This window comes from Homo sapiens, chromosome 16 (genome assembly GCF_000001405.40).
Source record: "Homo sapiens chromosome 16, GRCh38.p14 Primary Assembly".
Classification (NCBI taxonomy): domain Eukaryota; kingdom Metazoa; phylum Chordata; class Mammalia; order Primates; family Hominidae; genus Homo; species Homo sapiens.
Window position 1 is genome coordinate 61,700,568 of NC_000016.10, and position 18,061 is coordinate 61,718,628.

An 18,061-nucleotide genomic window follows, 5' to 3' on the forward strand; every position below is an offset into this window, starting at 1 on the left:
CGCACCTGTCTTATTTTTAGTTTTTTAAGGAACCTCAATACTTTCTACCCTAGGGGCTGTATTAATTTCCATTCCCAATAACAATGTATAAGATTTCTCACTTATATGTAGAAGCTAAAAATGTTGATCTCTTGGAAGTAGAACCAGAACAGAAGTTACTGGTAGGAGTGATAGATGGTGGCATGGGTAGCCAAAGGCTCTTTAATCGATAGAAAAGTACACCTAGATAGCAGAAATAAGCTGTAGAGTTCTATTGCACCATAGGGTGGCCATAATAAACAACAATTTGTTGTATATTTTCAAATAGCTAGAAGAGCAGTTTTTGAATGTCCTCAACACAAATAAATAATAAACCTTTGAAGTGATATATGTGCTAATTACCCTGATTTGATCATTACATGGTGTACACACATATCAAAAATATTAGATTGTACCCCACAAATATGTACAGTTAATATGACAGTTTAAAATACTAATAAAAGAATAAATAAAATAAGAAAGAATGAGATTAGAGTTTGGGCTTTGGGTCAGAAAAGGCAAAGACAATGCGTTGACCTGTTGTGATTTCAGGCCACTGGGAGTGATCTATCCCAGTCGCAAATGGGTCACTAGACTACCGTGATGTATAGTTCTAATGTCCCAATTGAAGTCCCTACTTTGTTCTCTATGAACATAAAATCCCCAGAGATATTCAGGGACATATACACTGGTCTAGGTGAGGGCTCTTGTATTTCTGTGTACCTAACTTTAAATCATTTAAGTTTCATATCATATTATTAAAAAGTTTATAAACATTGCTTATGTGGAATCACAGTGCTACACAATTCTCATTTCCAGAAAACAGTAAATATTTCTAAATGTTTCCTTTTCATTTAATGCATTTGAGATACTTTTTATTTTAAAAGTTTAATAATGAATCATCTGTGTTCTTTTTGTCTTAATATATTGTGTACATTTGAGTGATTATGAATGATCATTAAAATAGGATAATGTAGAATAAATGTGAATAATGAGAATTAAATGGTAGTTTTGCAAATTTCCAGTATTATTCACTAGATACCTTTGTCCAATTTATTTCAGTGAGTTTCAATCATTAGCAAGATACGGGAAGAGCAAAAGGACATCCATATAGAATTAGTTACTTAACTTTTATGGTTGATGTGCAATTTTTTTCACCAAAGGGCCACTCCAGGCCTTCTGACTAACTTTCCAGCAAGCAGATTTCCTCCATGTCCACGAAAGGTTACTTTGGGCGCACCATTGTTGTTGTCATTGCTAGTATTTTTTATTCTAGATATTTCAATGTTTTAACTAATTGACAGTCCTTCAAGACTTTGGCCATATGTTGACTGTCAGTCTTAATTTTTATGCTTTTCCTTTTTTATGTCTTCTATAACAATTTCTATGTTTTTCTATACCTTCGTTAAATTTAGAACGGAAAGTTGTGCGAGGTTGAGTCAGGACTATTAGCCCAATACAAGAGACACTGTTGTCTTCCTAAGAATGAAAAATAAGTCATACTTGGCCAGGCGCGGTGGCTCACTCCTGTAATCTCAGCAGTTTGAGAGGCCGAGGCAGGCGGATCACGAGGTCAGGAGATCTAGACCATCCTGGCTAACACGGTGAAACCCCGTCTCTACTAAAAATACAAAAAATTAGCCGGGAGTGGCGGCGGGTGCCTGTAGTCCCAGCTACTTAGGAGGCTGAGGCAGGAGAATGGCGTGAGCCCGGGAGGCGGAGCTTGCAGTGAGCGGAGATTGCGCCACTGCACTCCAGCCTGGGCGACAGAGCGAGACTCCGTCTCAAAAAAAGAAAAAAAAAAAAGAAAAAAGAAAAATAAGTCAGTCATACTTTATTTCTTAATGAGTCAGTGTCATTGTAACGACTTGCAAAGACTTGTGAAGGTCAGATACATAGAGTCAAAAATAATGATTGATATATAGTTGCTGCTCATGAAGTAGTCGGTACAATTATCATGTTGTGATCTAGACCTGTAATACCTGAAATAGATCATTTTGATTGTTTCTATCTTTCTGTTGTAATGTTACTCAGTTTTACAACAACTAATATTATGAGAATCTTCTCTAATGCTTAGCTGATGGTTGCTGACCTATAGTTTGCAGAAAGGAAGCACAGCTTGTGAAAATTATAAAATAAAATAAGAACAGTCTTACTGAGCAAATGTTCTGGGAATAAACTGCAAGGATTTAAGAGACAGTGTGTGCTACTGTGGAAAATGCAGCTTTAGCAGCTTGGTAGCCGTGTTCTTTGCCTGGCAAGTCACTTACTATAGCTGAACTTCAGTTTTCTCATCAGGAAAAATGGCAATAATAATAGTCACCCTGAATATTTATATAGAAAGATAAATGGAGAGATAGAAGTAATATAAGTTGTGTGAAATAAATAGGTGCCTAATAAATTTTAGACATTGATTTTTCTTGCAATTTGATATATAATCAATACTGAGTAATAGAGAATAAATTTGTCTTAAAATAATTACAAAACTCCCAAATAAAATCATAGATATGTAAACATGCTTCCTAATTTATAACATAATTCATATTTCTGAAAAAACTATTTCACAAGAAATTATGTTTCTATGGAATGTAACGTTAGCTAGATTATTCTTTGGGGAAATTATATACTACATTGTAGAATACGTATTTATTTTAGGAAGACAGAAAACTTATAATACTGTTAATATAGGGAGATAGTTTTTTCTTCTCCTTTCTTCCCTACCTACTCAACATGTGAACTTCTTCTCATTACCTGAACATATTTCCATTTTCTTCCTTTGAGAAAAAAGATAGAGAATTTTAGATAATTGTCTCTTACCCATTCTAAAACTTTCTTTGTACAACTTTAGCTTACCAACATTTAAAACAAAGGCAAGTTTCACATTGACTCACAATATATGTTTCAAAACATGGCCAAAGTTACTTTTTATTTCTTTATCTTTTAAACTATGCACTGATAAAATGTTTTCATGCAGGCCAGGTGCGGTGGCTCACGCCTGTAATCTCAGCACTTTGGGAGGCCGAGGCGCATGGATCACGAGGTCAGGAGATCGAGACCATCCTGGCGAACACAGTGAAACGCCGTCTCTACCAAAAATACAAAAAAATTAGCCGGGCGTGGTGGCAGCGCCTGTAGTCCCAGCTACTCGGGAGGCTGAGGCAGGAGAATGGCGTGAACCCGGGAGGCGGAGCTTGCAGTGAGCCGAGATCGTGCCACTGCACTCCAGGCCTGGGCCACAGACTCCATATAAAAAAAAAAAGTTTTCATGCGTATTACTGATATATATTATATGTATTGATATCAATATACTTTCCAGTCCCATTATTAAACAGTGTTTGTGTGTGTCTGTGTGTGTAAAAGCCTCAAATAAACACCAACAAAGGATGTAAGCACATCAAGATACCAAAAACCATCTCATTAATTTCCTTTTGGAGAATCAAGCAAGGTCTTATGATCATACGGCCTATGTATTTACAGAAAATACTTCATGAAACTTTTGTCTTTAAAAAACTTTTTTGGACAATCCCTATTTCTCCTTTAAGTAAACTACATTCTAGGTATATCCCTTAACTTTGACACGCACATAGCGATGTTTCATGTCTGTAAAAGTTTACTAAAGCTTTCTCATTTTGAAAGATCTCTCTGATAAACCAAAATGGCATCAAATAAATAGCTTTACAAAATGCTTCTATTTCCTTGTCTCCAGACTTAAATGAAATATATTCCCAAATTACGAACTATTGGGACCATTTGTCATATGTTTATTGAGTTATTTTATTTTATGAAAATGATTTAATTATTTAGTTTCTCAAGAATTCTGCCCAAAGATACTGAGAAAGAAAAGCTACAATGTTTTAGAAGCGTATCTTTTAATAATACTATCCAATATTTTAATATGGAAGATATTTTATACAGTAATTTCTATGGTAAAGATCACTTCCATGATTTTTGAAAGTTAAAAAAATGAGAAAGTACATAAAGTACCACAGAAATTACAGTAACTTCCATTGGCTTTTATCCTACATTCTTTCATTTATTCATCACAGTGCTTTTGTTCCAACATTTTCAAACACTTAGAGTCTGTTACAGAAAGTTAAAAGCCTTGTCCAAAGTCACTTCTCTGTTAATTGGTGGACTTGGGACTTGTCTGATTTTAACGTTTGTGATATGTCTTCTAACACCACATGTTTGAACACTCAGTATGTTGGGATAGATGAGCCTTTAGCTCCCTAGCATGAACCCACTCATTTTGTAAGAGAAAAAACTGAGTTCCAGGGAGAAGTAAATCACAGTGTGACCTTGATGGAACTAGCAATGACTGTCTGGCCAAGCAAAAGAATGAAATTCAGGGAAGGATGATTGTGCTCAGCATACCAGTACAGTATCACCTTCTTTTCAGACCACCCTAAGATAAACAGCCTCAAAAGGCTGAGGATAATATACTTGAGCAATAGAGGAAGGAAATTCTAGTAGGCAATCTACTAGAATGAAAGCAAAGGCAATGAGTAACCCAAAAAGATCCAAGCACGGCAATTACTATCTTCCTCAACAAAGTGCATCAGCACATTGATTTTGGTGGTACATTAGCGAACAGATAGAATAGGCAACAGATGGAATATGAACCCAGTGTCACGGCCAGAGATCAGAACAATAGTATTCTCTAGTTTCCAGGAGGCTTCAGTAAACACTGTACACTGAAAGTGAGCTAAAACCTCCATTAACTGACAGGTACCTGAAACAACCATGCATAGGAGCTGGTAAAGGCATGAACCTCACATAATGCAACTTGTATGAAAAGTATAATGGTTTCCAATAAGCCTGCAAAATGGAATCATCAGCCCCAGTTCACTGCCAGTACTTTATCACCAAAGACAGTGATGTCTACGGATCACTGTGCATTTGGAAAGGGCTCACTGACATTCTTTCACCCTGCTAGTATAAAGACATTGAATAGTATGGTTCGACATACCTCATCTGAGCTCAGGCATAATAAGGACACCAATATGAAACTCAGAGGGAGAATTAGCTGTCCATGATTAAAGACGCACATCACCATTCTGACCAGACAAATGCTTCCTAAAGATGGAATGGGAATGATGGAATCCATGAAGATCTTACACTTCTTTATGTAAGGCCAGGTTCACAAAATTGGGTTAAGGAGGAAACTTTGTTTGTGAAAGTATAGAAGTTAGACTATGTGATAATTCCCACAAAATCATAATATTGTTCAGACTTGCCTGCAAATTTCCCCACTCTATCACAACATTTCATTGTAAATTATAGTTTCCTCTCTAAGATTTCAAATTGTTATAAGACAGAGTCCTGAGGAAAACAAAAATATACTGTATAGAAGGGCAAAACCTGTGTCTATTTAATTCACTGCTTTATTTCCAATTCCAATTCTTAAGGGTGTGCCTGGCACATGATGGACACCAAATAAATATGTATTGAATGAATGAATAAGGGAAAAAAAGATACCATCCATTATTAATAACCTCAGAAGACAGTGGGGAAAACATTCCTTGAGTCATGTGTTTGCCTTAGCAGTTACCACCCTGTCCTACAGAGAAAAGAAAAGAGGAAAAACTTTACAGCAACTGTTAACCACCCACTTGCTCTGCCCATAGATAAGGGAAGCCAATACCTGAGTTATTGTGAATGATTTAAAATGGGCTAAATAGAAGAGGGATAAAGCAGAGGATGGGAATTTCAAAGGGGAAGCGAGAGGGGATTTAAAAAGTGTAACTGGCGGCCGGACGCGGTGGCTCACGCCTGTAATCCCAGCACTTTGGGAGGCCGAGGCGGGCGGATCACGAGGTCAGGAGATCGAGACCATCCTGGCTAACACGGTGAAACCTCGTCTCTACTAAAAATGCAAAAAAAAAATTAGCCGGGCGTGGTGGCGGGCGCCTGTAGTCCCGGCTACTCAGGAGGCTGAGGCAGGAGAATGGCGTGAACGCCGGAAGCGGAGCCTGCAGTGAGCCGAGATCGCGCCACCGCACTCCAGCCTGGGCACCAGAGCAAGACTCTGTCTCAAAAAAAAAAAAAAAAAAAAAAAAGTGTAACTGGCTTGGCATGTTCAAACCAAAGCATGTATAAGGGCACAGAAGACGGAAGAGAATAACGGAAAATAAAGTTAGGAAGATAGACATTCAATCTCATTGCCTGGTGTTTTTCTGCTTTTTAAGTACATATGAAGTTCTATATTTAGCATACAAGACTTTCATAAGCTATGTATTTGCTAAGATACTCCTGGCTTAAAAATTGGGTCATTCTGTCACTCTTAAATATTCCACTTGCCACTATGTAAATAACTTTATGCTCTCTCCAGCCAAATGAAAAAGAACAATTTTTAGGTACTCTCCATTTTTATTCTTTGATTAGGTTACTGTAATGATGCTTATGTTCAAATAACTACTTAAGTTACCCAAATACTTCTCTTTCTCTTTCCTCCTTTCCCTGTGCTTTACTCATGGACAATGTTTGCAGACATGTTCAATCATTGGCCCATCGAGTAAGGGAAAATGGAAAAGCATATTATTAATCATCTCCCAAATACCTTATTTAGGTTCCTTATTAATATTTTTATTTGTTGCATTGGGTGAACAAGTGAGATTCAAGAGGTTCATTAAATTTTAATAGAGAGGAAGAGGACAAGGAAACTATTTATTATCACCAATTTGTCAGTCAATGAATTTTGTACATCATTTAAATTTTTTACTTAATATTTTATTATTTAAAACAACATTGGATAAATATTATTATACAGACAAATGTTCAAGATTATTCAATTACCTTGCAGGTTCCCATAGATCGTAATCGGAAGAGCTAACCCTAAATATTCCTAACTATAAAGCCTGTGCTATTATATATTCCATAGTGTCTCTCCCTTATGTTTCATTCTAATTCATCCCAAGACAATTTTTTTCATGTTTATCTATGCAGAGTGCCTGCTTTTTTGTTGCCAAATTATTTTCCTGCCTTCTCTATCTACTTCTTCAATAAACTGAGGGATCTGAAGCACTTGGTAGGTGTTACTCAGGTCACATTAGCAGATGGAATGTCACGTATGCCCAATGTTGTATCTATAAAGTGCTGAAATTAATGCAAAATGCAAACTTCTGTGCTGTAATGAGTTGAAATAATTGTCAACTACATTTAATATCTTTTTTCAAAAAAAAAGAATTTGCACAGACTGACAGATCATTTTGTTTCCACATTCAATTTTAATATTTGGTTGTGCTTTCCAAAGGACAGTTATGTTTGTTTAATATCCACAAAATCCCAAGACTGATTTTTATGCTTGTAAGTAAAAGATAAATCAGTAAATAACATTATTATTTAATGAAACAAACAACAAAGTGGTATGGACAAGACTGTCTAAATGAAAAACATTTTTTCTAAATAATTCTTTATATTCTTCCTTTATTATTTTATATAATGATTTGGGGCAACAGTCTCAGAAAGCAAAGTACTCAAAGGAAAGATTCTACGCACGAAGGCATCTTTAAGATAACTAAGCATGTACCAATTTATTTTGTTTTTTGATTATTATTATTATACTTTAAGTTTTAGAGCATGTACCAATTTATTTTCTTCAGAATTAGAAAGCTCTGTAAAGGCTGGAAATGTTTGCTAGCAGATTGACAGAAAAGATCTGATGCAATTCAAAACTTTGAACAGCATTTTGACAACCACACCTATAAACTATAAAATCTATGCTATGTATCTGAATTATATCCTAGTGGTCAGTAATCTCAGAACTAAATTGTTTTCCATAACATACACTAAAAAATAGATACCCACAGCAGTGCTATGTCTGACCAGAGTAATAATTTCAGGATTTTTCAACATGTATAAAGAAAATTGTTCACTTCTGCAGGTACTCTTAAATTACAATTTTAGAAAGAAAATGAAAATATGAAAACTACAAAATAACAAGAGTTTTACAAAAACTACCCAAGCAAAGAAAACCTCCTTGTCTTGTGACACTAAGTGTACAGTCATATGCAACTTAGAAACTGGAAACACAAATCTGTTTTATCTATTTTTCTTAGCTTGCACATCGCCCTTAATTACAGTTTAGGTGACAAAATGAAACATAAATGTCTTTTTATCAACAGCACATTGCTGGAAGCATAAACAATAAACTATAAATTACTGAATCGGAAGCCTTTTTGGATCATATATGCATAGTGCTGTTCTCCGTATCTATGATCTGTCACACCTCCTGTTTCATGCAAATTGAGCACTACCTTTTATGATTCAACATTGAAGAAATGTCCCATGCTTCATATAGGTAATAGTAGACAACTTACATGGAAAACACTTCCAGTCAACGTTTGGTGCTGTGTGTTGCGCTTTGAAAAAGTCCACTATGTGAGCAGAACAGACAATACAATCATATTGGAAATATATTAAGATATTAACTATCATACTCATGCAAGTACACAGTTTCTGCTTGTTGTTTGGGGATGCTTGCCTGGGAAACCCAATAATAATGGATCTGCTGAAGCTAAGGGTATGGATGTTTTTATAAAGGACACTTGAACAAGAGATGTTTCTTTTAGGAAAGCCTTCTGTTGGTTCCAAAGCAGCCTATTGTAATAGCAGAACTTAAGGAAGACTCAGGTGGCCAGAAAAAGGACAATTGGCTTAGCAAGGTGGCCCTCCTTGCTATGTATATCAGCATATAGGTCCTTCAAGTACAATCCAGCCTGGCTAGGTATACCTGGCTTAAGGCAGAGGACAGAATGACTCTGTCTGCCTTGAAACCTACATCCTGAATACAGAAAATGTATTCCTGAAGATTCAGCTGGAGAAAAGAGGAAGGACAGAGCATTAGCTCTGGCTGGCATGGGAATCAGGAAAATCCACTTCCACTTTCAGGCAGCAAATTTTGGTTTTGCAACACGGGAAGTTTGAGATAGGCTGATGGTAGTCAAAAATGCAAAGGAAGGCTGTCTGTAATTTTCCAGCTATGTAAATGGTTCCCACAGAGTATGTGTGTTTGCAGGGAGAGATGGAAGTTTGGAGGCAATTTAGAACAATTTTATATGCTAGAATTGAAAGTGATCCCAACAATTGGAAACTACCATTGTGTGGAGAAACCTGAGTTTCGTTTTGGCAATGGAGCTATAGAAAGGTTAAAAAAAAAAAGTCATCATATTCAAAACCATATGCAGGAATCCTGCAGCTATTTCTGTGGCTGATAAATACTTTCATAGTTGGTCCTCATCTTCTTCCTCCTTCTTTTTATTTTGTCTATTTTAATACCCTTTAGAATGCAATACATTGCAGTTACTGTATAAGCAGATGTTTTTGCAATGCATTCTAGTGAGGATCAGTGTTTTCCCAACTACTGATGAAGCCACGTTCAAAATCACTGCACAAGATTTATAATTCTGAAGATTTAAAGCTTCAAAGAGACCTGGCTGAGAATGATAAGCCAGAGGAGATACAGTATGAGAAGGAATTAATGAATTCACATATAAAGGGACCTCGTCCCACTTATTGTTGCGTGTTTTTCTATATGCCAGGCATTGTGCCAATTGATGTCTAAGTCCTAGTTCACACATATCCATCACAGCACAACTATGAGACAGGTATTTTATCCTGGTGTCACAGATTAGAAAACTGAGGCTTAAAATGATTTGCTTAAAGTAAGAGTATTCGATACTTCCAGAAGATAAAAATAAATAAACTGTATACCATTTGAACTAGGCCACTCGGTTGAGACAGAAATCTATCAGACAATGCATAAATTATACTCTATACAGTTAACTATATTATGGACAATGAGGTAACACGAGGCATGTTTATTCCAAAGTAATGGTTAGCATCTACATTATTCAAATTAATTATCAAAAGTATGCATTTAAAGTAAGCTTCTTATCAACAATATTTCAGTCAATGAGGAGACATTAAGAAGGAAAAACAAATTGGTATCATCAGGTACTATGGTTCTCCTGCTGGGTTAAACATAACCAAACTATAACTAAATCCAGGTCCCCTGTCTATTTCTCGTCTTACCATAGGCTCTCCTTAGAGAGCAGAGATTTGTATTTTCTCTCATTTCTTTACACACATGATTTAAAAATTGCGGTATAAACCATGAGGGCTCCCATTTCACCAGACGGTGCTCTGGCAATTTGAATCACATTTTTTACCTACAGTGTTCAGGCTGAGGAAGAGTAGTTTTCTGGAGACCTCAAATTTCCTGCAAACAAGATATTTTAGAATCTCTAAAAGGTCACTTTTTTTCTTCCCTGTCTTGTTATATTTAATTGTTAGCTATTTTCCATTTCCATGGTTAAAATTGAGGCCAATACTGAAATGTGGTCAACAAAACTCTCTGCTTATAAATTCAGCCAACTGGAAGATGAAGAAATCAATATCTTGACCATATTCAAGGTGCTTTGATTTTTTGGTGTGAACATGTGGTATAAAAGGTTCACTGTATTTTTGACCTTTACTTCTATCTTTATTTATATTGAAGGTTGCTTTCCTATTCTGGCAGAAATATGATTCTCATATATTTAGTAGAATTATTTGTGAAATAATTCAACTGTGTAGGAGACAAGAGAGAGCTCATTTCTATCTCATTTTGTCTTTTATTGTGAATTAATTGATAGAAATTGCATTAGGACCAATCCATATAAGAGACAAGAAAAATTACAATAATTTTGAATTGAAATATATGGTGGCAAGTTCCTTAGAAAATGCCAAATACTGAAATCATCTCCCTTAAAGATCAAATTAAATAGGAGACAAACTTATTCATCAACAATAGATTTGATTATATTAGCTCTCTCAACATTTTAACATTTTTCTTGCAGGCTGGAACTTGTAACTCATACTGCTCTCAGTAGAGAAGCATCAGATACTGACCATTTTAAAATTCATCTTAAGAAGGAAAATATATATATATCCAACATTTTTTACAGCTTCTTTTCATTATTTTGTTTCTACATATTAAGACAAGCCCATTTTTTTTCTGTTTTACAGTACCTATTCAGGTGCCAAGTAAGTAGTGGTCTATGAAGCAAAACTCATGGATTTCTGATCTAGGAAGAGGAACATAGAGTATAAACTTTATATATCTATTTCAAACCTGTGGTTTCATGATTTATTTTGTGAAGGAGATGTTGAAGATTTGGATCCTAAATCCAAAATCACAGTGAACATAAGTCCTACTTTCCATAAGGCAGTCCTGGTTTATGGTGTTTTTCAGACATAAATATAAGCAGCCACCCCTCTCACTTTAAAACATGTCCCAGTAGAAACAATAAATTACATGGTCGCTCTTTGTAAAACAAATAAACACAGTCTAAAACAAGCAATCATGATGTATGGAGTACTCTTTCTGTTTCAAGTTATTTTTCAATAATAACTGACATCTTTAAAAAATTTACAAAGCAAAATAATATGAAAAACCTATAAGATAGATCATAATTTTAACTTCTATTTTCCAGTTTCAAAATAAAACAGATAATCCACATGACATTAAGTATTCTATTACAGGGTTTATCATAATGTGTGATGAAGCAGAATGAGGTATTCTAAATATTTAAACTTTTACCTTCTACTAATTCCAAAATTCAAGAAAACACATAAAATTCATTTATTGTAGAATTAAATCTCCTGTTTAAAAATATTAAGGCATAATAAATACGTGTCAAAATTAGACTTTCCTTGGTACCCAATAATATCTTCCCATTCACCCAATACCTTATGTGATGCCTTCTAGAGCCACACAAGAAGTGTATCTTGAAATTACAAAATTTACAGGAAACACTAAGGATCTCAGAATATTTGGAATGGGAAATAACTTATTCATGGAGAATTTTAAATGCTGTGCGTTTTATATGCAAAAATAGTGCCTGATACTTACTAGTTCAAAATCAGAATAAACACGGACCACACTTATGCACAGACTTCCAGTTCAGTTTGGGGTTTCTAAGGAGGCTTTGTGTTAGAAATATTCATATGATTTCCATTAAAAAATATTGGTGATGCTAATAAATAAACAATGACAATGTACTTGGATTACAGTTTCCAATCAAGGGTGGCTAACAAATGAATACTCCATTATTGAGGAGACAGAAAGGGTTTTGTCTCCTCAGTGTTTATAATAGTGGAAGTCAGCTAAATTAGTAATATCTATATAACAACTGTCATTTCCTTTTTGTGATTCATCCACATTTATCAAAGCGTCCCCACAGAACTATGTAGCATTTTGTTCAAAGGCAAGGCCATAATATATTTAGCCATAAAATGTTATTTTACTTCATAAAGGAAATTTTATCAAGATTCACTATCCCTTTAAATAGAATATTGCAAACAATAGGAACAGATATCATGAATCAAATTTTACTCTTCTGAGTATAGCTTGTATACAGACCATTGAGAGACCTAAACAGATACCTGCAGTAAAGCCAGAAAAAAGCCTGAGACATTGCTTATATTTTGCTAATCATTCTAAAACAGCTACAACTAAGACTTAAATACATTTGAACAAAAATCAAGTTTTAAATTTTTTTTAATATATGGCTGCTTAGAAAATAAAAATTTTCAAATGAGATAGACTTTAAACAATAATCTATGGCTTTCACATATAATAAATAGTATAGTTAAAGAAAACAGTAATCCAAGGTTGGTCCTCAGAAAATCTAATGAAATGGATTAAATGTGCTCAGTGAGTGAAAGACTTAACAATAAATCAGTTCATATTAGCTCCAAAATAATGCTGATAAGCAATGTCCTTCAAAGAGGATTTTCTGAACTAACTGTTATTGTTAAAGTTGGTACAGGCTTAAAACAAATACCTTTAATGTGTACTCACAAACCAGGCAAAATTAGAATAGCTTTCCCTAAAGACGTGGTAAACATTCAATTAAAACTTAACAACTACAAAGTGTAGGCCAATTCTCCCTCTTAGGGATATCTCAGAATCTCAAAATACCTGGAAGCTTTCACAGGGGTTAAATTTTACTCTTCATTTTTTAAAGTAAGGTGATTGAAGTATTTCCTGGGGAAAAAATTAACTTTTTACATTAACAAAGTTCTTATCTATTGCTTAAATATTGAAAATAGGAAGTAAGGTAATTACCATGCCATTATACTGATAAGCTGAATTTCAAGTGCTCATAGTTGAACAAAAATTATCTTAATGATAATTTTCAGTTATGTTATGAAATTGCATCCTATTTTCCAATTTATATTGTACTCTGTTTCACAAAGCTAATATATTTACCTTCATTTTTCTTGATGGTGAAATTCGGATTGTTGACCATTTCTGGAAGGAGACTGTATAAGAAATAATGTCCGTTTTTGGGATCATCTTTGTCCATGGCGCTAACAGTTTGAATGACCTGAAACATAAAACTTGACGTCAGCATTTCTGATGATTTCAGAGGCTCCTGCCATCGGTAAAAGCTTAGTGACATTCTTTTTGTGGTCTGATACTTTGGCTCAGAGACTCTTTTTCAGCTTTCTAAATTGTCATGGATGGTTTGTGCCAAGAATAAGGAGAAAAATCCATTACTTTAAAACCTCAGCTTTGATAAGTTGATGAAAATTAAGAGCATTACCTTTGTGTCCATTTGGTGTCTGTGGCTTGAAATAGCAAAGTTAAGTGTATTTGAAATATCCACTGGGCAATTACAGGTTTCTTTCCAATTTGAGTATTTACGGGCATCTAGAATGAGATTTGGAATTGTTACAGTGATTGTAGTGTGGTTCTTGGGAGGATCTTTGAGGTAAATGGCTTAAATCTTGAATCCTCACAACTCTTTTACTCATCAGGTTATAAATGTTTGCCAAATAGTGTTCCTCAGCACAAACATCACTGCAACAAACCTCTCTGATGAGTTGCTTCTGTTCCCTCCCAATAATTAATACTGTTTTTTAAAGCTAGTGGGTAACACATGCAAACAATGCTTTGGAGTGTATCCTGAGATGAATAAATTATAGGGATTAGAATTACCACGGTGCAGAGAAATGTTTGGATAGATAGAGGTACTTGGAATCGGTGCTTATTAAATGTGCTTGTTTCATTTGTAAAGCTGCATTAACTTAATGCTAAAGTTGTTTCTTGGGATGTCAGATAATTATCTTAATAATTTGTATTTATGATTCTGTGATATTGCTAGTTCAATGTGACAAGCGGGACAAGAGCTAATGTAGGAAAAGTTTGAATGTATACTCCTATAGTGATAATAGATTTACCATAAAAAGTAGTTAACAGTGAAATGTTCTCAGGTTTATGATATTTCGAGGATATAATAATGATGTCAATGCTATTGTGTCTGTGTGAACAATTATGTCCCATTGAACTTTGAAATGTTATTAAAGAGAAAAAAAAATTCCTTTTGAGAAGGGGTCATCTTTGCTTTCTAACTTACCACTCAAGTGTAAGAAGCACAATTTCAGAACTTTTAGCAGCTATGGGGCTTTGCATTGTATCAAGCACATGTTATATGATAGGCAATTCATTCAATTTACTTGAGGCAAAAATAAAATACTTTTTTTTAATTTCTAGGTCTCCCTTTTTAAAATGGAACATAATCTTACTTTGTAAGTGTTTGATTTTTGTTAAGGACCTTTTTGTCTAGTTATAATGTCTTATAAATAATTATAATTATTCTTAGCTTGAGTGACAAAATAACATAAAATAATTTAAAGTATAACTCATGGTTAAGACAGTGAGATAGTCATCAAGAGAAAGGACTCTGGAGTTAAGCTTCCCAGATAAGATAAAAGTCACAGCTCTGTTTGTGGCTCATTGTGTGACATTGAAGGAGTTACTTAAGTCTCTGAAACTTCAATTTCTTGTATGCCAGAAATACAAATGCAAAAACCATCTTTTCTCATAGGTGTGTTTTGATTATGGATTTAAATTCATATAAATCTTTTGACAGTTTCTGGTTTCTAGTCAATGTTCAATAAAATTTTAGTCATCATATCATTATTATTATCATATTTATTAGGGCCATTGCTATTTATTGATGACCTGGCATTTTGATAAATCTTTTATAAATGTAACAACTCTGTTACTCAATGACCCAACATGATCAGACTAAAGGAGAATGCAATTATATTTACTGTACCTAAACACATAGCATATTTGCCTTGACATTTAAGTGTAGAGAGAGGCCCTAGGGTACTTGTTTCATAAAAATCAACATGAGTTAAAGTACAAGGGGTCTAGATTTGAAACATGGATAACTCCTTTGGACAGCCTGCAAGTAAAAATATTTAACAGAAAAGTATGAGTTGACCACTTCACCTCAGAACAGCTGTGCTGGATTTTCATGTTAAAAAGTCAAGGGAATGACTATCTTTGACAAGAGCTTTCTTTCAGGCAATTATAAAGAAGACAGGGAAAAACATTGCTTGTGAGCAAATGTAGCAGCTCCTTCTCCATTTACCCAGACTTCTCTCTATAGGACTTCTAGCCCCAGGTGCAACCATTGAAGATGTAATTCCTGAAGTGTGTGAGTGCATATGGAGAATAAGGGCAAATGAAGAGAAGATGTCTTGGTTTTCTCAAGTAGAGATCAGTCATAATTAAATGCTTTCCTACAGTACACTTAGTGGATAAAGCTCCCATAATTAATACCATTCATACTATTTTCAAGTAATCTGCGTGAAAATGGCTCATACCTGCTGTTGCATCTACAGGAGAGTCATTTGATTAGCTAAGCCACCATGACCAAAACAAAAGATACAATGATATAGCTTACCTGTAGCAAAGAAGCATAACTACCTGCCACATCACATCTCAGAAGTCTGGTCTAAACATCACACCAAAATTTAATACATTTTTCCACCATTTATTTTAGCCAGGAACTCATTAGATAAGCAATTTATTGAGCCACTGGAACTACTGACTAAAAAGTCTCAGATTATAACTCAGCAATCTGTATTTCAAACAGCCTTCTGGGTAATTCTGGTGTACACACAAGTATGAGAACCACTGTTTTGAGCCAATGGAAAAGATTCATATTCATAGTTCTCTCCTCATAATTCATTAAGAGGCTTTATATTGTCAAGCTCATGTCAAGCTCAGTGCATTATATGCTGGGGAGAAGGTGGCTGAACTGGTGAATTATTACATTTTCTTCCAAATATCCCATAAACTGGTTATGATTAAGATTTTTGGTTAAACCACATTTGACACTTCAAAACAGATATCCCCTGCTTTGGCATTTTATCTAAAAGTAGATGCCAAGTAGGTCACTTGAAGGACTTCATACCATTAAAATGCATTAAGATATCCATACTAATGAGGCTAAAGTTTTCATTGATGAAATAACTTTTGAATGCACTTAGCTTTAAACAGTAAAAGAAAAAGAACAGATTTGTTCAAAGAAATGTACCTTCACAGAGGCAGGTTGTATTGACATACCGAGTAGAGGGCAACTGGAGACCACGTAGGGTCCACTGTGAGCTACGATGACCTCAGCTGGTTTTTTCAAGTAATTTCATTTCATGGCAATAATATAAAAATTTCTGGAGCAGTCATAAATTCTGAGAAATATGCATCTAAAGTTAAGCTTAAATATTTTCCCTTCTGCTAATAAAGTTAGTATGCAACTGAAAAATCTAATGTTTCATAATTTATTGTTGAAATATTTTCAATTTTAAGGAAAGCTGAAAGCAAAATATATGTCTTTATTAGAGAAAACAAAGCATATCTGGGATGTTGGGATAAGGAAAAGAAGTCCAGAACCATGCTTGGATTTTCAGAGGAGCAGACTCTGTTCTATTTCTTGAGACTACAGATTTGAAATTAAATAAACGTTCTAAGACATGAAACTAGAAAACAATTGTGTGCTACAGTATAATTCTGACCCTTAAAAATCTTTCATTGTTTATCAAAAATTCTAAATCTAAATTAGATTGTTTTAACAGAGTATATTAAACTTTATTTTGGACTATTTTACATTAACTCAAAAATATATTATAGTAGCAGAATATCACTGCCATTATTAACTTTTGAAAGGTCAAGCAGTCAGCAAAGAAATACATTTTTGATGATCTGATCTGTTAACAAGCATAGCTGTATCACAGGATCTATTAGAACCTCTTCCGTGAGTTCCTGTAGATATTATTTATCAATATGACCTTATGTGTCAGGGGGATATATGAGATATCCCCCCTCACTACTATTAGAATAACATGTGGCACATGGCAACTATTTAATAACTATTGGCTAAATGAAGTAATGGATGAATAATAAATAAGCGATGGCAGGTACATTTTTGCATCATCATTTATCCTCACAATACCTTGAGAGGTAAATATTAAGAAACTTATCAGCACTGTGATATATCTAATGTATTATATACATTCAAATTATATGAAGTATATATTACATATGTATATATACACACATACATGTGTGTATGTACATGTGGGTGTATACGTATGTGTGAGTGTGTATAAAATGTCTGATCCCAGATAAGCCTAGTTACAAGTTCTCTGCACCCATTGCCCTCAATATGCCAGGCGTCCTCAAAACCTTGTAGATATTTATAATTTCTATATATGTATTTCTGTTAAATTGGGGCTTAGACCTTCAATATTTTGGAGTGTGTAAGCATGACCCATCCATCCTTGCTTGCTTTGCTTTAGCAGTCTGAAGGTTCTTGATTGATTCTAACCAGTAAAATGCACACCAAGTGAACATTTAAAAGAAATAGTTCTTTCTATGTATGGACAAGGTGAGAAAACCCTATTCTGTTGTAACTTTTGGAATATTTTCCAAGGCTTCTAGAATATATGTCTATCTCTAGGAAGATCCAGCAATAATGAACAGCATGGTATCTTCAATTGAACCACACTGTCACTTTCTCAGGTAAAACTTAGTTTCTCTTTTCTCTAAATCCTTCTATAATGATATGAATTGTAAGGTGATAGAAAGGGGGTGAAGGAAAGGAAGGGAAGTTACGGTCGATGAAGAAGGAACAGCATAATGTTTGGCTTTCTATTAATTCTATTATTATCTCCACTTTATTTCTGATGATCATATTAACTT

At 34.6% G+C, this 18,061-nt stretch overlaps 1 protein-coding gene across 4 annotated transcripts in view; it reads right to left on the minus strand.

Moving 5' to 3' along the window:
• The window catches only part of CDH8 (cadherin 8), a 389,189-nt gene that overhangs the window by 53,318 nt on the left and 317,810 nt on the right, over positions 1–18,061 (minus strand). For 3 of the 4 annotated variants that reach the window (NM_001796.5, XM_005255760.5, XM_047433484.1), the window contains one exon: positions 13,274–13,391. In NM_001796.5, the coding sequence (NP_001787.2) occupies positions 13,274–13,391 (118 nt within the window). Of the gene's footprint in view, positions 1–13,273; positions 13,392–13,610; positions 13,718–18,061 lie in introns of those variants that run through there. The other variant, XM_047433482.1, reaches the window with a different exon arrangement.